The sequence below is a fragment of the Homo sapiens genome, chromosome 18 (genome assembly GCF_000001405.40).
Source record: "Homo sapiens chromosome 18, GRCh38.p14 Primary Assembly".
Classification (NCBI taxonomy): Eukaryota; Metazoa; Chordata; class Mammalia; order Primates; family Hominidae; genus Homo; species Homo sapiens.
Window position 1 is genome coordinate 68,899,398 of NC_000018.10, and position 25,626 is coordinate 68,925,023.

Here is a 25,626-nt window from a genome sequence, read left to right on the forward strand (position 1 = left end):
TAACTACCATAGATGAATACCATGGTGCTATATATATATATATATACACACACCATGTATGAGTACCATGTCTATATATGTACAGAAATTCCATACATGAGTGAGGCAGTGAAAGAAGGTGCTAGCATGTAAGGGACACTAGTGCAAACACTGCACGATTATTAGTCTCTAAAAGAAATATAAGATTTCTTTAGAAAGATCTCTTACTACATGACATTTGCATTTAAATCATATTTACCAAAGGTTTGTGGCAGACATAAAGCTACGTGCTACTCATCAAGAACCCCACATAAATTGTAAAAAATATGTTAGGTTTTAATATTCTTATTGTTCAATAAAAATTTTATAAGTCCCTATTAATTCAAAAAGGTAGGACTTTTCACATGGTTTTACATTTGGTTTTTTTATTTCAATGGTATAGAGAATGCATTTTTAAAGAAAACGACTTCCAGTTTTAAATTGCACTATTAATCAAAAGACAAATAATTTTCTTTACGTAAGTAATCTCATCACATAAATCCCCATTGAGTAGTTGCTTTTATATACTATGTTTAAGGATATGTGTACATCATTCTTTTACAACTTAAAAAATGCAATAATACACTTGAACTTTTAAAGGATAGATTGGAAAATTACTACTCTGGTGGTATCTATATTTAAAGCATAAACCAATGTAATAGACTTTTCTAGAACAACCATTGCATGAAGATTTTTCGATTTGCTGTTGCTCTTGGAAATAGTGGCACTGTTCCATGGTCCCGTGGCATCAGCATAATTGACAAAACAACACCAGAAACAGAGCTTCGGTGGCAGTGTCGAGTGCTCTTCTCAGCATGAAGTCTGCATTATAAATGATGGCAAAGATGTTTAAGACCTAGATTTGTAAAAACATAAGTAAATCCAAGAGTATGCTTTGAGGAAGAGAAATGCAGCTCATTTGAAAGTCTGATTTCACAGACAATAGTAAATTATGTTAGTGATGCTTGATCATTAGAATGTACATTTCCATCCAACATTAAAAAATCCACCTGTCCTTATTGGACTAACTGATATGACGTAAAGTTTTTTTAAAAAAAAGTCTTCCATACACTCAGAAAATGTGAATTCGATAATTTGAGCTATTTGTCAGAATTTTTTCTTTGTTTTCTTTCACAAGATCAAGATAGCTAAAACATTTAAGTGTATTAAAAATTATAGTGGCATCGAAAGTGGGGTATACATGTCACACTGTGTTCAAAAAGCTCTTGCTTTTTGAATCTCCATGTTTTATAACAAATATTAGTAAAATAGTGTATCTATATAACATAAATAAGTTAACATATTTAAAGAGTAAAAGTTGGTAAGCTCATAACTTTATAGGAACATTAAAAGAACACATATCAACTATTCTATTTATTCCATTAGTTAATGAAGAAACCAGCAAGTTATTACAGCCAGTTCGAAGGAAAATCTAAGTGTCATACAACTAGGCACCCAATAATGCCAAAATGAACGTGCTTAATGGATGCAAGACCGGCTCTTCCATGTGGGTGGGGAAGTAAATTGCACTGTCACCAGATAACGTTGTCCCACACGTTTATGGACAAGAATCAGTTGTATGGCCATGGATCATCTATAAATTACAGGGTTTTGTGTAAAATAGCTTAATGATATCAACATTGCAGGACATTATAGAAGCAGAAAATCTTACCCGAGGAATGTGTTAGACACAACTTCCAGGAATCTTTGTTGATCATAGCAAAGTCTTTCCCAATTTTCCCTGGCAATATAAGTTACTTGATGTGCGTGTGTGATAAGTCTATATTTGAGTACATCAACAAACACATGGGGAGTGTTATTCTAGACTAGGGATGGACAAACTTTTTTTGTAAAGATCAAGATGGTAAATATTTTAAACTATTTAAGTAAGCCACATAAGTCTCTGTGGCATATCCTTTTGAAAAATTATAAGCCTTTGAAACCATAGAGAATATTTCATGGGTGGCACACAAACAGGTCTAGAGCCAGATTTGGTTCATAGGTCATGGCTTGTTGCCTCCTGCTGTAGGAGGTACATGCAGGGGTCTCTGGCTTACATGGACAGAAGGGGGGCCAAGAAGGAAAATGTGACAGAGTTAGGTACAGAGTGACAAAAGAAAACAGCACATCTTCCTGCTGATAATTGTTGGTTGGTTAATAGGAAAAAAATATGTGGAAATAGTTGTCCTCCAAAGAAAAGTCTTTCCCCTCAACTGGAATTGCAATTTTCCACATTTGCACATATCCTGTGGATCTACATTTTTATGCAAATTCTCAGAGTGCCCCTATCTTTCCAGTCTCTTATTTTCTTTGCCTTTAATTTATTGGAGAGTAGCTGGAAGTCTTTTTCTGAAACTCATGGGGGGATGTGGCCACCAAAGCTCTGACCCTGAACTGAATAGACACCATTTCTCATAAACAGTTCACTTTCATCATCCTCAGGTCATGAAATAGCCTCTCAGATAATATTTTTGGGAAGTTGATGGAAAACTTCCTACTGTCGATGTAAGATATAAACCTCCTTCATTCTGAACCCTGATCTGCTTCTGTAGGTCTAGGATAAGGTCTGAGATTCTGCACTTCTATGAGGCTTCCAGGTGACACTGATTCTGCTGGTCCACAGACTGCACTTTGAATAGCAAGCACTTTGCCCATGGCAATTATTAATAATTTGTCTGCACCCTTGCATCGAATCACTCACTTGCAATTCATTTCTACTCTACTACCAGAGTTATTTTTCATCTTTGATTACATGTTTCCACCCCTTTTCACCTTTTAGTCATTTGAATTACTTCATGCTTTCTTCCAGCACAGGATCTTTCCATAGGTTTTTCTTTCTGGAGGAAAAAAATATCATTTCATATATAAATTTATTTTATTACCAGGTTTCTCTGAGATGATCAAGCTCATGTTCCTGTAAGTTAAGCAAACAAGTAACTTAAATGCATGTGCACATTTAGGCAATATCACAGCTGGGCAGAGGTAGGAAATCAAAAAGCAGCATGGATTCCCTAGTATCTCTCAGTCCCCAACATTATATGGGTCAGAGGTTTGAGCTATCATCTTCATCTAGCAACCTCTTTATAGATATATAGGACCTTTTCTGAAACACAAAACTTGTAGTTACAGTAAGTGACAACATATTCATCTAACCAGTACCTATCTGCAGCATGTTTACTAGTGCAGCATCCACCTGAGCCCAGTGCTGTCCTATTGCTTGTTTACCTGTTAGAGATCTGCTTTTGTTGCAGCTTCTGGCAGCCCTTCTCATGAAGCCTGCTACAGTTCTTCTCTGGTCTCATTTGTTGTCTTAAGTCATAGTAATTCTTCTGATATTAACTAGGATTTTGCTTCCTTAGAAAAGCCTTTCCTGATCTACCTGAATAGATCATATAGCTGTTGCAGTTTTTGCAATTGTCTAGTTGTTTGTGAGATCATTTGATTAGTATCTCTATTGTATGTGACTAGGAGATGGATGAAGGATTGCATTATGTTTGTTAATTCATATATCCCCACAACCCGGCACATTTTTCTCATACTAGGTCTTCAAAAACATTCATGAAAGGGATAAATTTTTTAAAAGAATGAGGGATTTGTGGTTTAAGATAAGCAATAATTTGTGTGCATCGTCGTACTAAAAAATAAAGGTAAATGAGTTTTCATAGATGCGTGAAGAGAGGGAAGCTAGGCTCTAGAAGTCAGGATGAATGGATATCTAATTGACATAATTGAGAGGCACAGACAGAGGGGAGTTTCACACACAGAAAAGCGTAATTCTGGAGTTAAATATCTTCCCCTGGGCTTGAGAAATCAAAAAAGAACTTTAGATACCTCCCTGATCCTAAACCATTTTTATGCTCTTACACTCCCTTTCCTCCCTTTGTTCACATTTTTGAAATTTCAGGAGGGCAGAGAAAAGATGTAAGACAAATGAGAGGAAGGGAAATGAAAAGTGGGGTCTGTGCTCACTACAAAAGGATTAGACATAATAACCAGTGAGAGAACAAACACTCAAGTGTAATATTTATCAAGAGAAGTCTTGATATTTCTGTGACAAAAATGTAGAATTGCAATTTCCAGACATTATTTTTATATGATCTATGGCATAAATAGTATGATCTATAGTATCTATAGTGTAAATACTGATTTGCTTTGTCCAACATATGACACAAAATCTTCTTTATAATAGCTCAATTCTTCCACTGATAAGCAGTCTATGTATTCTCTATTTCAAACAATACTTTTGAAAATGAAAAGTTATGGGAAAAAGTGGTCCATATTCTTTTGAGAAAAGTCCCATGTCTCAGGCAAAGTGTTTTGGAAGCTTGTTTACTGAAATCATTCTGGCAACTGAATCCCTTCATTCAGATCACATAATGGATCGCTTTCAGAAAGTCAGTGTGCCCGGGCAGTAATGATGTGTCTTAGGAAACTGATGAATTCATCTAAAAGTGGAAAGTGCATTAAAGTTGATTCCTAATGAATTTGCATTAATGACAGTAGTCAATATTCAAGGAATTACAATGTGTTTATTTTGTTTAGTAACTTTGGCTTCAAAAATAGTTTATTTCATCAGTGGTTTAGCAGGCAAACCTATCAATTTGTTAAATTTTCCTCATATGATATGTTGTTTTTCTTCCAAATCTTACTATTATTTATAAAATCATTCACTTAAGAATACACAATTACAGTTTTTACTGTTATAAAATAGAAATTATTATAGATAACATTATATTGGATCATTTCTTGTTTATCTTTAACTGTTTACATAGATTCTATAGCTGAAATACCCTAGAAATTCTATTTTTAAATGTAGCTGTTAATAAAAATTTACGTTATTATGGAGAGGTTTTGATATATGGAAAAGTTCAAGTTTTTAAAATATAAAATGTGTTATATTTTGGTAATTAAATTGGAAAATCATTTATTTTGAAGAATGTCCTGCTTGCAGGAAGTGCTAAGCTACATGTAGGTCCTGCGTAAATTCATAATTTAGTTATTGCATGAAACATAGAAATACATCCATGATTTTGTGTACATTTTAAAGTGTATAGGTGGGATTATTGGGTTGAGTGGAACAATGGTCTTTTGCCAAGTAATTTCTGAAGTTAGCAGAGATAAAGAATCATAGTTTTAAAGTACTATTTCTTAATGCCATGTAGAAAGCATGTACTGAAAGTTCCCTACTGGTTTGAAACAATCAATAAATTGCAAAAGTAGTATGACATTTACCCTAATGTAATATGATTGCTCATGCCTACTCTCAAATGCATGCACACACACACACACACAGAATTGAATTTTACCAATCTAATTCTAAAATAGGAGATTTATTCTTTTCCCTGTTATATGATTCTCTGCTGAAGCAAACTTAAGTGGATAAGGTTTTGCATATATGAAACGTTATTACTAAGAATAAATTAGTGATAAGATAAGTTTTACATCCTTTTACTTTCATATTCTCTTATACTATTCACTGCTATGTTTTGCTAAAATCATGAATTTTAAATCTCAGTCCCTACTAAATATAGTGTTTGGCACATCCTCATAACTGTGTGTTAAATGCATAAGTTTAAGTATTGATGCTTCTGTTATTACTATTTGAATTTAATTATGTTTCCTGATTTGTTTTCAACTCTTATACTTTTATTCTATCAGTAAGGCAAATATAAGGTTATTGGAAGTTTATATTATTCTTTAAAATCTCCTTCATGTGTATCAAACAGGTGATATGTTAACCCATATCCAATTAAAACAAAGATGCAAAATTTGACAATTTAAATCACTTATATTTAATAAAATACCATAGCAAAAATTATGACATTTACGAATGTCAGCTGTGAAATTATATATTTTTTAATGTTTGATGTAACTAGCATACTACTAATAATCCACTATATTATTACAAAATAATGAGATAAATAATTATTTACCTTCCTATTTAAAAGGACATAAAACACTATTGTTACAAAGATTATTTAAAATTAAAACTAAAATGCAAGTTTGAGTTAAAATCATAAGATTAGTGTAAACTCAGATTAATAGATCTGAGCCATTCACTATTCTTTTTTCTTCTCTTTTTCATTAAAGTGAAATTTCATAACATAAAATTAACCATTTTAAAGTGAACATTTAGTGGTATTTAGTAGATTCACAATGTTATGGGACCGCCCTGTCTAGCCCTGTCTATTTAATTCCAAAGCACTTTCATCACCCTATAAGGAAACAAAGCAAGCGTGATGCAGTAACTCCTCATTCCTCCCTCCCCTAAGCTCCTAGCAACCGCACTTCTGCTTTCTGTCATTCTGGATTTCGGGATATTTCATATAAATAATGGAATCATGTGATATATAATCTTTTATGTCTGGCTTTTTTTTTTTTTTTTTTTTTTTTTTTGAGACAGAGTCTAGCTCTGTCACCCAGGCTGGAGTACAGTGGTGCGATCTCGGCTCACTGCAAGCTCCGCCTCCCGGGTTCACGCCGTTCTCCTGCCTCAGCCTCCCAGGTAGCTGGGACTACAGGCGCCCGCCACCACGCCCGGCTAATTTTTTGTATTTTTAGTAGAGACGGGGTTTCACCATGTTAGCCAGGATGGTCTTGATCGCCTGACCTCGTGATCCACCTGCCTCGGCCTCCCAAAGTGCTGGGATTACAGGCCTGAGCTACCACGCCCGGCCTACGTCTGGCTTTTTAAATTTATCATAATGTTTTCAAGGTTCATGCACATTGTAGCATACATCATTACTTCACACCTTTTTGGGTACTTCATTCCTTTTTGGCCTGTCTGGTATTTGTTCATTTCTACATCTGCTGGTGGATGTTGAGTCGTTTCTACCTCTAGCTCTTTTGAATAGTGCTGCTGTAATCATGCATGCACATGTATTATTTGAATATCTGTTTTCAGTTATTTGGGGTATATATCTAGGTGTAGAGTTGCTGAGTCAGATGGTAATTCTATCTCTGTAACTTGTGGAGGAATCGCCAAATTGTATTCCATAATGGCGGAACCCATTACCTTTCCACCAGCAATACGTGAGGGTTTTTATTTCTCCACATCCTTGGCAACACTTGTTATTTTGTGTTTTTGTTTTGTTTTGTTTTTTATTTTTGAATTATACTCATCCCAGTGGGTTTGGTTTCTCATTGTGATTTTCCTTTGCATTTTCCCAATGACTAATAATGTTGAAGATATTTTCATGTGTTATTGGCCATTTGTATATCTTCTTGGCAGTTATGTGTACTCAAACTCTTTGACTAATTTTAAATTGAGTTGTATTTTTGTTGGAGAATTGTAAGAATTCTTTATATATTCTGGATACTCTACTCATATGTATGAAATGCAAACATTTTGTCCCATTGTTTATGTCATATTTTCACTTTCTTTTGATACACGCAGTTTTACATTTTGACGAATTCTATTTTTTTTTTTTTTTTGTCATTTATGCTTCTGGTTTCATATCTAAAAACCCATTGTTAAACCCAAGATTCTCCCCTATGTTTATTTCTGATACTTTTATACTTTTACCTGTCATATTTACACCATTAATCTATTTTGAGTTAATTTTTGTATATGTAAGAAAGAGGTCCACATTCATCATTTTCCATGTGAATATCCAGTTGTGACTGCAACATTTTTTGAAGAGACTATTTTTTTCTGCCACTGGATTGTCTTGGCATACTCATCAAAAATCAATTATCCATATAGGTATGGTTTATTTCTCAACTATTTTGGTGTCAATTCTATTATTTTGGTGTGAATGTTTATCTTTATGCCAGTGCTATACTGTTTTGATTGCTGTAAGTTTTGAAATTAGGAAGTGCGAGTATTTCAACTTTGCTCTTTTTCAATTTCATTTTGGATATTCAAAGCCTCCTGAAATTCCATATGAATTTGAGAATCAGCTTTTCCATTTTTGCAAATAAAAAAAAAACGCCATTGGAATTTTCAGGGACTTCACTGAATCTTTAGATTGCTTTTCAGAGTATTAACAGTTTAATGTTACGTATTCTTATCTGTGCATATATCTTTCCATATATTTGTGTCTTTTTATTTCAGCAATGTATTGTAGTTTTCAGCTGATAAGTCTTTAACCTCCTTGGTTGAATTTATTCCTATGTATTTCGTTCTTTCAGGTGTACTTAAAATGGGATTTATTTTCTTAAATTCCTTTTTAGATCATTGCTCATATGTAGAAGCACAACTAATTTTTGTGTGTTCATTTTGTTTCCTGCAACTTTGCTGAAGTTGTATATTAGCTGTAGTAAATTTCTTTTTCTAGATTTGTTGGAGTTTTCTATGTATAAGATCACGTTATCTTACACATGTTTTACTTTATGCTTTGCAATTTGCATGTCTTTTACTTCTTTTTCTTGCTTAAGTGCTCTTGCTAAAACTTCTAGTACAACGTTAAACAGCAGTAATGGAAGGAGGCACGCTTGTATTGGGGCTCATCTTAGGGGGAAGACTTTCAAACTTTTATCATTGATTATTAGGTTAGCTGCAGGTGTTTCATATGTCATCTACTATGTTGAGAAAAATTTTCAACTTTTTTCTAATTTATTGTTTTCTTTTTTTCTCCCTGATCAAGTATTGCATTTCATCATATGCTTTTCTGCATCAACTGAGATAATATGATTTTTCCTTCATTTTGTTAATGTGGTGTTTTAAATGACTCATTTTATTGTGTTGAACTACTCTTTCATTCTAGAATAAACCCCATTTGGTCACAGTGTAAATTTTTCTTAATATTCTATTGGATTCCCTTTTCCAGTATTGCATATAGGATAGTTACATCTGTATTCATAAAGGATATTGGTGTGTAGTTTTCCTTTCTTGTGCTGTCATGTCTGGCTTGGGGTCAGGGTAATGCTAGACGTTGAAGGACAATAAAAACACCACAAAGCTTTCCTGCCATATTTAAGTTGTCTGTTATTGACTCAGCGATTGCTTGATTCCATGAACCTTTGACTGCTTTCCAGAGTTCTGACAAAGTGGATTGTGCTGTTTTTCCTTGATTTTTTCAATGATTCTGTGGCGAGATGGACACTTCAAGCTGCCTACCTTGCCATTTTTGCTGACATCTCGTCACACCCATTATTGATCTTGGGAAATCTAGACCAATATTACTAAAGCAACTGTATGCATTCTGTTTACTTTCACCATTAATAAAAATGATTTTAACCCAAATGTTAGTTAAATGACATTTTTAAATACATTTTCCTCTATTGGACTTCTTAAAAACATAGCATTCAGTGTTAGAGTAATCACAACTTATTACTATAAAAAATCAGTGTGGTATTGATTTTGGTCTTCAAACTTAAATAATATTAATGGATTTATTAAGAATACTGTAGTAAGTGATAAAATTTAGCATTGGATAATATACGTGTGTACATATATATTGGTTACTTACATACTAGGTTTTATTTAAATTTACAGATTTATATGAGTGTATGAATGTGTATTATTATTCTCCAAAGTTTTAACTGTGTTTAAGTGGCTCTTCTTGTACTGATCCAGATCAATTTTTATATACCTTCTTTGGTTTGTTGTCACTAAACACAAGGTAATGATTGGTAATTTAACTTTCTTAAACTAGACTATCCACAGTGATTAGTTTTAACAAATTGTGTTTACTCCATCTATGTGATTCCAAAGACATAGTTTGGCATGGTTAAAAAAAAAAAAAGAATGACAGATGAAACACAGAAGGAAGGCAGGAAAGAAGACACAGAAAAAAAGGAAAACAAGAAGGAAGGGAGGAAGGGAAAAAAAAAGCAAAGAAAGAAGAGTAAAGGAAAGAGGAACAAAAGAAAATGTAAGGCAATTAGTTGTAGGTAGGAATGCATCATGGTATCTGTTTGTGTAAATTAAAAGGAAAAAAATAACGATCTAGTCTACTATTTTTATTTCAAAACAGTTATTTTTGCCAATATATCCCTCCCCTCCCCAAATGACCTATGTTAAAGGAAGTTCTATATTCACTGTGAATTAGCCATTTTCATACAGGATCACCAGTAAAGACTGGCTGTTATAAAATCAGATTCTACCAATAAGTATTTTCACATTTTCATTCACAAAGTAAAAGCATGCACTTCAGTATGTGTTAGATGTGGAAGCATCTCAAACGATCAGTAAAGAGATGTCATCATCAATTACTTTTTTAAAAATAGGAATAGACCAGGGATGAAAAAACTCTGATATTGAATATACAAAATATAATATTTTTGAGAAGGATAGTTTTTTGAGATTAATAAATTTAGTTTGGAATCAACTGTGGGAAGCTGAAAGACTGGCTGGCTATGTGCATATGATTTTGATAAACTAATTAAGGGGGTTATCACAATGACAGACTGAAAATGCAGCAGGATCAGATCACATATAGGGAGTAAAATTAGATTTCATGTGATTAAAAGTGCATCTGGACCTTAATAGCTTCCTCTGCTGCTTCATATTTGGAATGTAATTTTTGTTTGTATTTTATTCTAATTTTAAATAAGACAGAATTACAGAAATGCAAGATAAAAATCCTGTGGTGGGGGAATGCTGGCAAATAGATGACCTTTTATGAAATGGTTTATAAAAGAGATAGAGAATTAGACTGGGAATCCCATCTGTAATCCCAGCACTTTGGGAGGATGAGGAGGAGGATCATTTGAGGCCCGGTCAAATCATTTGACCAGCCTGGCCAACACGGTGAAACACCGTGTCTACTAAAAATATAAAAATTCACTGGGCACAGTGGTACGTGCCTGAAATCCTAGCTACTTCAGAGGCTGAGGCATGAGAATCCTTTCAATCTGGTACGTGGAGATTGCAGTGAGCTGAGATCACACCACTGCACTCCAGCCTGGGCAACAGAGTGAGACTGTCTAAATAAATAAATAAGATGGGGAATTGGATAGATCAACAAAAATCAATTAGGTATGAACATGGAGAGCAACTCTTTTTAGGATGTTTAGATAGTACAGCAGAATTGGCAGATATACACTACAATTAAATATTTTGTGAGGTCTAGTTCATCATGGTAAGAAGGCATTTTAAGGCATAGCAGAATGATGTTATTTTATATCACCAACCCCCTCTAAAGTTGCAAGGTTTTAATAATTGATCACAGAAAATATGAGAACTCCCTGGGCCAGGAGGAGTTTCTAGTGTCACAGATGTAGACAGGGCTGAGGACACACAGCACATTTAGCTCCGAGAAAGTAAGTTGCCTTTTACCTCTAAGGAAAACAAGAATAGTTCTACTGTAGAAATAGTTAATTCTTAGTTCTAGAATTCTAATTTAAAAAGCAACTCATGAAGTCAACAATTGGCTCTTTATTCACATTATATTGTTTTCAGTGCTGTGTTTGACTTCCTCTGAAATCTTTCTTCTTTAGGCATTACAGTCTTTCTCAGCCAGGATGAAAGCTGTGCCATAAGAACCAATGGCTTAAGGCTTCAGAGATTGAAGATGAAAAATGAAAAATTAGCCCTGGGAATGGCTGTTACTAAAAAGGGGGAAAAAAAAAAAACAGATGATGGTGAGGTTGTGAAATAAAAGGAATGCTTATACACTGTTGGTGGGAGTGTAAATGAGTTCAACTGTTGTGGAAAGCAGTGTGGTGATTCCTCAAAGGCTGAAAAACAGAACCGCCGTTCAACCAGGCAGTCCCATTACCAGGTACATACCCAAAGGAATATAAATCATTTTGTCATAAAGACACATGCATGCATCTGTTCATTGCAGCACTATTCCCAATAGCAAAGACATGGAATCAACCTAAATGCCCATCAACAGTAAACTGGATAAAGAAAATATGGTACATACACATCATGGAATACTATGCAGCCACAAAAAAGAATGGGATTATATACTTTGCAGGCACATGAATAGTGTGGAGGCTATTATCTTTAGCCAGCTAACGCAGGAACAGAAAACCAAATAAAGCATGTTCTCACTTACAAGAGGGTGTTAAATGATGAGAACACATGGACACATATGGAAGAACAACAGACACGGGGGTCTACAGGAGGGTGGTGGGTGGGAGGATGGAGAAGATCAGAAAAGGCCGGGCGCGGTGGCTCACGCCTGTAATCCCAGCACTTTGGGAGGCCGAGGCGGGCGGATCACGAGGTCAGGAGATCGAGACCATCCTGGCTAACACGGTGAAACCCCGTCTCTACTAAAAATACAAAAAATTAGCCGGGCGTGGTGGCGGGCGCCTGTAGTCCCAGCTACTCGAGAGGCTGAGGCAGGAGAATGGCGTGAACCCGGGAGGCGGAGCTTGCAGTGAGCCGAGATCGCGCCACTGCACTCCAGCCTGGGCGACAGAGCGAGACTCCGTCTCAAAAAAAAAAAAAAAAAAAAAAAAGATCAGAAAAAAATACCTAATAGGTACTAGGCTTAATACCTGGGTGATCAAATAATTTGTACAGCAAACCCCCATGATATGAATTTACCTACATGTACCCCTGAACATGAAAACAAAAAAGTAAAAAAAAAGTTAGCTCCAGGAACTAAAATGTCAGCATACATTTACTTAGTAATATGAATTTAACCAATCCCATTTTGGTTTTGTAAAAGCTGTTACTGAACTCAAGAAAATATTTTGTAAATTTTTACAAGAACAGTAGCATCACACCAACCCAAATCACTACATTTCTTATTTTTCATGCTCAAAACAGTACATTTGTCTGACTTGTTGATATCATCTGGCTACTTGATGAAGGTAAATTTTGAGATTTGATCCTGGAGAGAAGACAGTTTTCTACAAAGTAAGGTCTATATAGTTTCAGTCCTGGGTTAGAAAAGAGCAACAGCCTCCTGATTCTATTAAAAATAACACTTTCTTGATGTATTTTGATAATCCGTAAAACACTACTCTGTAAGTACTGTTTTAGACAGTTAGATATAAAGAAAAACATACATTAAAACATTCAAACTCTGTTTAATGCTTTTTACTCACACACTAACAGTCCAACCCAGTGGTTCTCAAAATGTAGTATCTAAACCAGCAACATTAGCAAATGCAAATTATCAGGCCCCATCCTAGGCCGTCTGAGTCAGAAACTTTAGATGTGGGGCCTGGAAATCTGTTTTAACAAGTCACAAGTTGTGTCAGCACAAACTAAAACTTAGAATCTAGCCTTTATATTTGCATTGAATAAGTTATTTATATGATGACAGTGTCTTTAAGGTGAGGATAGTATATACGTTTTTTAGTCATTGTATTGATTGTTAAGAGGCAACTAATAAATGTGTGGTCCAACTTATAAGAGAAATGGGACCAGAGGCTGGAAAGGAAAAGAAAAAGAATGAAGCCCTTATCCTAGATTCATGCTTATTATTTGATTTTGGCCAAGTAATACTCTTTGTAATACACTTCAGTCTCATAATTTCTAAATGCAGAGTTTGGAATAAATAGTTGAGATCCTCTTTACTCCAAAAGTCCATGATCTTGTCACATTTTTCAAAATTTAGCTATGGAGTTTAAATAAATGTCACTAATTTGGGTTCGTGTGTACAATGCAATATTTCCTTGGAATTTCAGTGTATTTTCACTAAAATGGCTATTGGCTTCTGATGTAGCTTATTGTACTCTTTCTAGTTGCTGGATTTATTTCTTTTTAATTCACCCAGTTGAATTTGATATGGTTGTTGACATAATTGAGATATTTTTCATTTCCTATTTCTCTGTGACTGGCCATCACTTTCTGTTTTCCCATCATTTGATTATGCTTAATTTAATGGCATTTAAATTCCCACAGCATTTGGCAGCCTTTCTAATTCTCTCTAAATTACAGAAAAATAAAGGAGAGAAAGCATCCATACATCAGTAACTAGAAAGAATCATCTCTTTGCTTTTTGATGAACTTTTATTTAATTTTCCATTGGATGGTTAGTGTCTGTGTGTGTGTGTGTGTGTGTGTGTGTGTGTGTGGTCCTACTTTAAGAAAAACCAGCCAGGGGTGGTGGCTCACGCCTATACTCCCAGCACTTTGGGAGGCTGAGGTGGGCAGATCACCTGAGGTCAAGAGTTCCAGACCAGCCTGATCAACATGGTGAAACCCTGTCTCTACTAAAAACACACAAATTAGCCAGGCATCATGGCACAGGCCTGTACGGCTGTAATCCCAGCTACCTGGGAGGCTGAGGCAGGAAAATCACTTCAACCAGGGAGGCAGAGGTTGCAGTGAGCCGAGCTGGTGCTACTGCACTCCAGCCTGGGTAACAGAGTGACACTCGGTCTCAAAAGAAAAAAAAAAAAGCAAAAACAAAGACAAAACTAACCAAACAGGAAGTCAATAAAGCTAAAGAAAGTGTAATTTAACAGGAAGTCAATAAAGCTAAAGGAAGCGTAATTTTAAATCACTTTCTACTTCACAGGCAGTTCCTATTCTATTACTCTGAAAACACATTCCTCCATTTATTTCCAATATATGAATAAATTTACATACAGAGACAGTGCAATTTCATTAGATGCTCTTATCTCCTGCAGCAGTGTTTTTAAAAGTTGGATTATGGTCCTATCTCTGCCAGATAGGGTGCTTTCTGAAGTAAAACTTTGGAATTACTAGGCATGTAACTTGGGACCCAGGAGCACATATATTTTAAAACATAGGTAATTTTTATGTGCACTATATTCGGAAAATGACAAATCACCACCAATTTTCTCAAAATACATTATAATAACCTTTGCAATATGCAAAATATTTTAGCTTACAGTATGTCCTCAAATAATGTCTTTCATCATAACAGTAAGAGAAACAAAATCTATTCCCTGCTGCAGTCACTATGTAGAGTTTGAGACTCTCCCCATGTCTGCATGGGTTTCCTCCAGTTACTCCTGTTTCCTCCTACATCCCAAAGACGCATGTGCTAGGTGAATTGGCGTGTGTAAATGGTCCTAGGCTGAGTGACTGCGGGTGTGTGAGTGGCCCTGCAGTGGGACGGTGTCTTGTCCAGGTGGGTTCCCACTTGGTACCCTGAGCTGCTGGGATAGACTCAGGCCACCTGTGACCCTGAACTGGAATAAACAGGTTGGAAAAGGAATGAATACATATTATCGTAAAATAAAAATTTATAAAGCATGCAATCATCCTGTGGATGCATTAAAATAAACCATGCAATAAAAAAGTCCTCAGCAAACTCACCTTATATGTGCTTGTTTTTGGATTGCATGGAGGCTGGAGGTGCCCTTGACCATCTTCAGTTTGGAAACATTTCTTCGTTTATTTATCACACCACCACTACTATCTCCGACCTCACTGATTCACCAGAAATTGGATAAATAATTGTCTCGTTTTTATGAGTCTTTCTTAAATGTGTGTATAGCTCACACTTATTTCAGTGTTTAATATTAGAAGCATTTGCGGATTTTAATTTTTAAATTTCATGATGTTTTTGTGACCAGTAACAAGCCATAGGAACTCAACTCTCATTTATATCCATTAGCCAATGGTAAAATTGGTTTGTTATACATTGTTTCACATAAAATCACAGTTTCCAAGAACCTATGGATGACTTTAGGTGAGGACTTACTGTATTTTTGATTTAGGCACTACTGGGGGGAGAGAGAGAGAGAGAGAGAGACAGACAGAAAGAGAGAGAGAGAGAAACGTGAATGAGGGCAGCGATTGAGATAAATATATTTTGTTATTGGTAATCTTAAGTGATGTATTTTTAAGGCTATTTTATATATCTTCTAGTTACATTTAAGTAGATATCACAAATACAGTATATTTTCCCATCTGCTGCACTCACGCTTGAAGCTCTGTGCTGGAGACAGGTTGGTGGCTGTTTAGTGGCATTGGCCTTGACAGCATGTGCAAGGAGCAGCAAAATGTGAGAAGTCTTCCCCGCCAAGGTGAGGCAGGTGTGAGGAGTGGTAGCATATGGACACATGATTAACTGGCTGGGTATGTATGACAAAAATAATTCTACTTTAAGCTAGTTAAAATTAATTATCCTACCTTGCCTTATGCCAGATAGAATGAATTCATTTTTTTCTAAATATATGGTTTATTTGGCACAATTTGGGTGAATGTAGTTGAGATGCTTTTTACCCATATTAATGAGCATTTCATAATGAATACTTTGTCCTTTGGCTGTATATACAATATAGAAAAAAAGAAAATTTGAATTTACAATATTTTTTGAAATCCAGATTTGTCCTTTATTAAATAATTATTTTAGTTGTAATGTTTTCTACTCTTTTTATTTGAGTGACTATTTGTTAGCCTAACTTGGATTAGGTTGGTACAAAAGTCATTGAGGTTTTTGCCATTTTTGCATCAGCCTAATACCATATGAGGAATGCCTCTCTCATTATTTCCGATAAGATGTGTCTTATCCACTTTTTGCTTATTAGCATGTAACCCATTTTAAGGAAAAAATCAATTTCAGTCGGTGTTTAGTTTTAATAGTTGTAAAGTACGAATGAAGATTTTTTTCCAAACTGAGGTAAAGTGTTTTTTTCTATGACATATAGGCAGAATGAGTTTACAAATGTTGCAATCCCTCTCCTTGTTTAGTTCATGTGGAATTGAAATATGTAAATAACAGAGACAAGGAATATTAAGCCTTATTTTTATAAAAGGTGCAAGTTATCACATCTTATATATTATAGGTATGAGAAATTTCATGTAAATTTAGTTAGCATCTATTCCTTCCTTTGTTTATTCATGTAGTCAACAAACATTTTCTTAATATTAGATCAGTTAGTTTGGTTGTAGATAAGAGAATAAATAGATAGATAGATAGATATGCATCTATCTATCTATGCTATTACATATGTAATAGAAGGAATTTGATGATTTGGAAGGACTAGGGGAACCAGCTCTTCACTGGGCATGCTGACCTAACACCCAGTAGACTACCACAGCATGTGCCAAACTAAAGAATGGACACCTCTGGGAAGTACCAGAAGATGCAGGGGTCAGGATGCCACTGTCCCATCAGCTCACTCCATGATCACTCAACCTTAGCTGAGAGTGAGAAAGTTTCCCACAGAACTGGGCCTGCTAGCTCTGTATCTCCTTGTTGCCTCTTTTCCTGCTTTAATCAGTTCCAAATCCAGATCTCTTTTTTCCAGCATCTAAATCTAATCTGCAGCTCTAGCTTCCAGGAAGTCAGGGAAATGTGGATGTTTTGTGGTACATGAGGGAAAACTAGAAGGAAGCTGGAAAAGATGTTGAGATGTGTTTGAGGCACATACAAGGTAGATAGGGGATATAAGGTTGGCAAGATACACAATGTGACAGCTGTCCTCATGAGGCTTACAGTCAAGTGGAGAAAACTAAAGTCAATCAAATCATCAACAAAAAGTCTCTTGAGGTGACTCTGTTCAATGTTACAAATTAGTACATTCGTTGCATTGCTTTCTCCTGGGAAATGATGACTCAGATTGAGGTCAGAAGGATGAAAGGAAATCGGTACCTGGGTAGGCTGAATCAGGGCAAGGGGCCTCCCATGGTTTGCAGAGGGCCCAAGGTCTGGACAGGAGCCCTGTGTGGCTGGAGAGAGGAGCAAATGCCAATGTGACTAGAGTGAGTCGGTGAGCACAGAGGTGCAGGCCCCAGCAGGAAATCAGTAGGAAGCAAGGGGATGACACAATCAGACAGGGATTTTGAAATAACGATTTTGCCTGGAATCAGAGCTCCAGGTGGAGAAGTGTGTTTCAACCTCCCATTGTTCATAGCTTTGTGCTCTTTTGTTTGGTTAACGTTTGTATCTTTCTGAGAAAACTGAATTTCTTGAAAACCAGCATTTTTTTTTTCTTTTTGGAGACAATTTAAGTGTCTTGGGGTGAAGGGAGAGCATTGGTTTGGAGGGAGAGATGCTTGGAAGGTCAATGAGGTTCTGGGGCTCCCCGGTCTGTGTTGACAGAGCCACAGTACCCTGGGTTGGTCATGGAATTTCCAGGAAGGATCTGATGATGGCTGATGAGCCTGGGGAGTAGCTGTGCTCAGCATAGCTACACGTACTGTGGAAACTGCGGGAAAGATGCAAAGAAAGGAGTCTTGCGATCTCTGAAATTAAGCTGCTAACTCTTCCTCCGTTATACTTAGCTAGTGTAGCTAAGGGAATTGTCATGTTATGACCTTTTCTAATAGCTGTACCTTACATCCTGTTGTTTCTGTCTGTCCAAATTTACTTCCACTGGGATTAAAGTATCCTTCTATCTTGTATTAATCGCTGTGTCCATCAATTCTGGTTATTTTTGGTGTATCTAATGAAATAACTTAGTTTCTTTAATTTAAAAACCTGCATATCAATCCCCAGTTATCAATCCCCAATATCAAATAATTATTTCGGATGCTTTCTTTTAGCATCATCTGAAAATTACTTGTTTATTATTTATTTACCAAGAATCGCTATGTTTTGTTCTTTCTATGTCTCTTTTTAGTCCTAATGTTTTACATTATAATCAGTGCTTTTCAATTCACCATAGCAATATAAAAAGTTATTTTTATTGGATATAACCTGGAAATAAACATCATTTTTAAGAAAAAGGACAATGTGCTACATAATATACCTATTTTATTTGCCTTATGTACACCAAAATAATGCACACATACATATATATGTATATATGATATAGTTTACTCTCTCTTCACACATGCAAACATGCACAGCCACATATACATCAGGTGAGTATGCCAATGTAGTACACCAAATATTTGTTAATCCAAGAGGGTAAAGACAATTAGAAAATTCTTAAGTTTCTATTAGAATAATGATCTGTTCATCTGATATCAGAAGGTGTTAAACCTAAAACCTACATATAAATCTCAACTTTATCAAGGCAAAACTTACAAAATTAAATACCTTTGAGAGTCAGCATTCATTTCATCTTATAAATCTTAGATGATTTTTGTTTTAGGGCCCCTGGTATCTCTATTCCCTGACTTCCGCTTTAACATTCACTGATTTTTTTTCTCTACAATTAACTCCGTCCCCAAATTTTGAGTTACCTCCTATGGTTATGGTTGATTCTGTGTCTACCTCCAGGTGAGTGATGCATGTTTGACTAATCCAAACATTTAGTGACCACGTATACTAGTATGGCCAAGCAACTGCATCAGAGACAATTAAATGTAATTATGGTTAGTCTTTTTAGAGAGATACCTTTTCTTGTCTGTTAAAATTAAACCTGCAAAAGTATAGATTTGGAGCTGTTAAAGATCTTACTATTACTTGGAATTAAATCAGAAAGAGAGAGAGGGAACATGTCAAGAAACCTGAACAGAAGACATAATGAGCTTCTGGATTAAGCATTGTTTGGATTAAGACACCCTTGGGGTTTTCAACTATGTCAACAAATAGTCTTTCTCATTTAAGAAAATTGGAATTCCATTTACATTGCATTGGATTCATAGCAGTTCTAAAATTAATAGCAAATATAATCTTCACAAGCAGTAATTCTTAAAGAAAAATAGTTTATTAAATAAAAAATAAACTTCCCTTTAAGAAAAACCAGAGAATTGATGTCTTATTTTGTTATTCATTACTAGGATAGCAAGTTGCATTTAGTTTTTAGCTATCGAATATGTATTGTATATAAAAGGGAAAGAAGGGAATATACATTATCACATCTATGTGCACATGTGTTAAGACTACAAGTGGAATATGTGGAGGCTTTTTCTGTATCTGTGTTGAAGAAAACTACTCCCCAATACATTTTATAGTCTTATCCCTTATATCTATTTTGGAAAGATGTATTCTATGATACATATTATATTATTATTTATTAATGTCATAATATTAAATAATTTTCCCAACTACTAGTTACCAACACAAAATATTTAAAGTGATAATGAAACTAAGTTATTCACTGTATGTGCATGAGTATATATGTACATATACACTGAATATATACTCAGAAGGGAAACAGTAGAAATGGGATTTTGTTATATTGACCACATTTGTAATCTCTAGTAGGAATCCAGGCTTTAACATGGTAATACCCAAGATAAATATCGTTTTTATATTTCTTATATATTTTTACCCATGCTGAACTAAAAAACATTGGTTTCCTAATCAATGCCAGCAGGTTATTTTAGAGATTAATTACAATTTTGTTGGAAATTCAGAAGCAGAATTTTGGTGTCTAGAAAAAGTATTCATCTTGTTAGAGTCACGATACTACTGGAATTTGAGGCAATTCCTTACACAGATCTGTGTTCTCCTGAGAGTCCTCTTATTCTTCTAGCCATACACAGTATGAACTTGAACTCTGCTGCAAACTTAGGCTACAAAAAACTTTTCTTTATAAGTTCTGAGTTAGCTGTGACAATTTTATTACTACTTCTGGATGTTCAGGTGAGTTAATCAATGTACTTTATTTACTAAAGGTGGTATTGAGATATTGTAGTTTATGTAGATCTCTATTCTAAGGGAGAGAATGTCTTCAATAATTGTTGTGGTGAATTTTGAATATATTCTTGCATTCTTTTTTAATAACCCAGTCATAATTACTAAGATATATGAATACTTCAAAATTTTAGTTCAGTTTTATCAAGACCTGCAATGATGCCGTACCCCAAGGAAAAGTATTCTTATTATTTTTATTACTTTTATTTTAAGTTCAAGGGTACATGTGCAGGTTTGTTACAACTTGTGTCATGGGGATTTGTTGTCCAGGATATTTCATCACCCAGGTATTGCACCTTGTACCCATTAGTTATTTTTCCTGATCCTCTCCCTCTCCCACCCTCCACCCTTCGACAGGCCCCAGTGTGTGTTGTTCCCTTCTATGTGTCCATGTGTTCTCATCATTTAGCTCTCACTTGTAAGTGAGAACATCCAGTGTTTGCTTTTCTTTTCCTGAAAGCTGGAGGCATCACACTACCCAACTTCAAACTGTATTACAGGGCTACAGTAACCAAAACAGCATAGTACTGATACAAAAACAGACCCATAGGCCAATGGAACAGAATAGAGATCTCAGAAATAAGGTCACACACCTATGGCCATCTGATGTTTGGCAAACCTGGAAAATTATTATTAAAAGACATTAGGTCCACTTTTAGGTACTGTGGTGTATTAGTCCATTTTCACACTGCTGATAAAGATATACCTGAGACTGGGAAGAAAAAGACGTTTAATTGGACTTATAGCTCCATATGGCTGGGGAGGCCTCAGAATCATGGTGAGAGGTGAAAGGCACTTCTCACACTGCTATGAAGAAATACCTGAGACTGGGTAATTTATAAAAGAAAAAGATTTAATTGACTCAGTTCTGCATTGCTGGGGAGGCCTCAGGAAACTTACAATCATGGAGGAAGGCAAAGGAGAAGCAGGCACCTTTCTCACAGGGCAGCAGGACAGAGTAAATGCTGAGTGAAGGTGGAAACCGCTTATAAAATCATGAACTCACTCAGTATCACAAGGACCACATAGGGGAAACTGACCTCATGATTCAACCTGTTCTCCCTTTTGGCACGTGGGAATTATGGGGTTTATGAGGGTTATAATTCAAGATGAGATTCTGGGTGAGGACACAGCCAAACCATATCAGCAGGGCTGGTTTCCTTTTGCCAAGTTTCAAGCAGTGGTATATGGGCCAAAGATGGCTCCACATGCCAAAGGTGGCATAAGGGCTCCAAATGTTCTCCTCATCCAGAGATGAGATGTTGTAAAAGTGTCATGCCCTGGTCACCTTCACCTACTTAGTTATGAACAGGACTAGCTACTTCAGAGGTGCCCTCAGCAGTGATACACAGAAACGTTTAAGGCCTCTTCCAATATTCTAGCCTTAGTCCTTGATATGGTTTGGCTGTATCCCCACCCAAATCTCATCCTGAATTCCCACGTGTGGTGGGAGGGACCCAGTAGGAGGTAATTGAATCACGGAGGCAAGTCTTTCCTGTGCTGTTCTTATAATAGTGAATAAGTTTCATGAGATATGATGGTTTTTAAAAAGAGGAGTTTCCCCACACAAGCTCTCTCTCTTTGCCTGATTAACTGTATGTCTATGGTAGGCAGAATAATGGTTTCCAAAGCTATCCAAATTTTAGTCACTGGAACTGTCAGTGTGTTACTTATATGTCAAAAAGAGTTTTGCAGGTGGAAAGAAGGCTGCTAATCAGTTAACATCGCATATATAGATTACCCTACATTATCTCCATGGGGCCAGTGTAATCACAAGGGTCCTTAAATATAGAAAATTAAGGCAATCGAGTTGGCAGTAGAATAAGCAGGACTTGACCTGCCATTGCTGGCTTTGAAGATAGAGAAGCGAGCACAAGCCAAGGATTTCAGGCAGGCTCTAAGAGCAGAGAAAGGCCTCTGCTTGACAGCCAGCAAAGAAATGGGGAGCGTAATCCTACAAACACAAGGGACTAACTCTGCCACAGCTTGAATGATCAAAGAAGCAAATCTCCTGTAGAGCCTATTAAAATATTGCAATTGTAGCCACGTGAGAGCTATGTCAGGCTTCTGACCTCCAGAATTCCAAGATAATAAATTTGTATTGTTTAAACCATTGTTAGTCATAATTTGTTACAGCAACAACTAACACAACACCACTACTCTTGGGACTTGGATTTGATGCTCTGATAGGGACTGGGTCCGATTTCATTCAGTTTGTCTCATACAACACTTGATTAGTGCTATTATCAACAGAATTCTGATCAGCAGTATGAGGCCAATCAGCAATATTGATCTCAGCCATGCACACCAGAATCCTGCACTCAGCCTATTGAATAAGCCCCCAGAAGAAGTAGTGTGTCTTATTTCAGATAATCATTCATTTTCACTTCTCATCTTATGGCTCATATGCACTGCTCCACCTGAACAGTGTTAATTAAGACAGCAGAAATTGTTGATGACTACATATCTTTCTCCTTGTTGAGCCAAGATGTAGATTATGGGTTGTTAATTGCAACTCATACAAGAATTGCTGATATACGGCTTATGCTGTCTCAGAGGGGACACAGGTTACCCTAGTTTGGAAATTGTTGAACTTGTTTTGGATCAGTATTATGTTGATTTGTTTAGGCCTCAAGAACAGAATCACCACATATTTGCAGATTCAATAGCCATGCATACATAACTGAAGGCCAGTTGGGAGTCAGAAGCAGCACTTGAATTTTTATCAGTTCAAATGAAACAAGGTTGTCCAGTCTGTGCGTTTGTGCATGCACAAGACAAGTCTGCATTCATGAGCTGTGGTTGATGATAAAAGGCCCAGCAGGTCCAGCCATGCCTGCTGCTTGACTCAGGTGGATCTCTCTCCCCATGCCTTCTGAAGCCTCAGGTGTTCCCTCTTTAGTTGTTGCGGTTTCTTCTCTCCCAGGTTGCTACTCTGTTTTTATAAACCCATTCCTCACCTGTACCCAGAGATTTTGTCCAGGTGAGTCCGGTTTCATGGAGCAGGGACACAAATAAGGTTCCCATTGGGGGAAAGGATATTTATTGAGCACCTATTATAAGCCAGCTGCTCATACTTGCTATGTGGGTTTACCTTAACTATAATCTTGGGTATAAATTTTATTATTGATATTTTACAAACATGGAAGTTGCCAGAAAGGCTTAGTGACTTGCTCAAGTCTGACATTACTTAGCCTTCTGATCTCTGTTGCCTTTTTAGATGGCTTGCAATAAAAAAAATTCAATATATTACATTGAATGGGTCAATGTGATTCAAAAGCCCCTGTTTCCTCCTTTATATTATACTGCCTTCTACTCCAAAAAAGGACATGGAGAATCTCTGTTAAATGAAAACATATAAATATAAACATACAGAAACATACACATACAGTTTTTTTTTTACCATTCTGTCCTGTTTTAATAAAAACAGGGAATCATTTAGCAATTTATGTAACTCCCAAGAAAATTTTTCCAGGCACAAATATAGGTACTTAGTGTGTATACAAAAAATGTATATGAAATGTACATTTATTGTACACTACAGAAATCAGGCTATACAAAAATGTATATATGTATTTTTATATATTTGTAATAAAATACCTATGCAAACTATACAGTGTGTATGACACCAACATAATTATTTTACTGAAATCAATTTAATAAATAATATTATTATTTAATACTAAAATAACTGCCACGAATTGAGCACATAGTATGTGCAATGCCTTGTGCTATGTATGGTGTGAATATGACATCATAAAAAGTTAGCTGATAGGTATTTTATCACCCCCATTTTGTAGATGAGACACCTGAAATCCTATGAGAATATGTAACAAGAAGCAAGTATTCAAACACAGGTTCACACTAAAGAGTGAAGAAAAGCATTGTTTGAATATTGCCTTCCTGTGAGCCAGAAATTAAAGAGAGTTAGTGGCGACCTTGGTAACAGAATTGCATTAAGCTTGTTGTCTTTATATCACCTAGAAAACAACATCACACATGAGTAGTCACCAACACAGATCACATTCCATCTGAGACATGGTTAGCCTGCATTTGCAGCTAAGAGGTTCATAATAATGAATATATGGATCCTATGGGAAATGGTTTTAAATTACCAACTATGCAAGGGATCTGTGGCCATCATCAGCAAAACTTGCTGCTTGTCCCACAGCTATTATACTTTCCTGAAATGCCTGTTTCATTCTATGTTTATGGCTGTAAGTAGCATCATTAGCAACCAAGGAACTCTCGTAGGATTAAAGTTTCTGAACTGCCTATGTTACTACAATATGTCTTAAAACTTCTGATGCTGTGGTACAGTCTCTGCGTCTCAGCCCCCTTTTCCCTTCTTCCCCCCCAAAACTTATCAGATCTCTATTTTTAGGTACCCATTGGTTACATTTTCCTTATACACCTAATATGGTTAGGCTTTGTGTCCCCACCCACATCTCATCTTAAATTGTAATCCCCATAATCCCATGTGTCAAGGGAGAAACCAGGTGGAGGTAATTGAATCATGAGGGCAGTTTCCCCCATGCTGCTCTTGTGATAGTGGGTGAGTTCTCACGAGATCTGATGGTTTAATAAGGGGCTTTTCCCCCTACCTCCACCATACTTCTTCCTGCCACCTTGTGAAGACGGTGTCTTGCTTCCTCTCTGCCTTCTGCCATAATTGTAAGTTTCCTGAGGTCTCCCCAGCTATGCTGAACTGTGAGTCAATTAAACCTCTTTCCTTTATAAATTACCCAGTCTCAGGCAGTTCTTTATAACAGTATGAAAATGGACTAATAAACACCCATTTACACCCAGATTTGGTTGGATGTATCAACAAAAGTGCAACATTGAAATCCTCTGGATGCTCAGCTTTTCAGAAGAATTTCTATGTGAGGGGAGATAGGTAGTTCAGGGGACTTATCAATAGGCCTGAACAATTGTTCCCTGACATGGACTCCCACCGTCTGCACACAAGCCCATGCTGGTCCTCACTTCAAGGTTCTTGTTAAGCACTGAAGAAATAAATTATCCTCTTGATCCCTTTGAGATTAGCTGAGTTGTACAAACACTTATGCCAAATGCTTCTCAAATTTTAGTGGGTTACCAGAGTCCCAGGGGGCTAGTTAAAATACTGTTTACCAGTGCCCACCCCCAGATTTGCTGATTGGGCAAGTCTGTGACAGGCCTAAGTATCTGCATCTCTCACAAGTTCCCAGCTGACACTAATGCTGCTGGCCAACAAACCACACCT

General features: G+C 36.2%; 1 protein-coding gene across 8 annotated transcripts in view; it reads left to right on the plus strand.

The window, feature by feature from the left end:
• CCDC102B (coiled-coil domain containing 102B) overlaps positions 1 to 25,626 on the plus strand; it is a 342,906-nt gene that overhangs the window by 184,182 nt on the left and 133,098 nt on the right. The window lies entirely within an intron of this gene.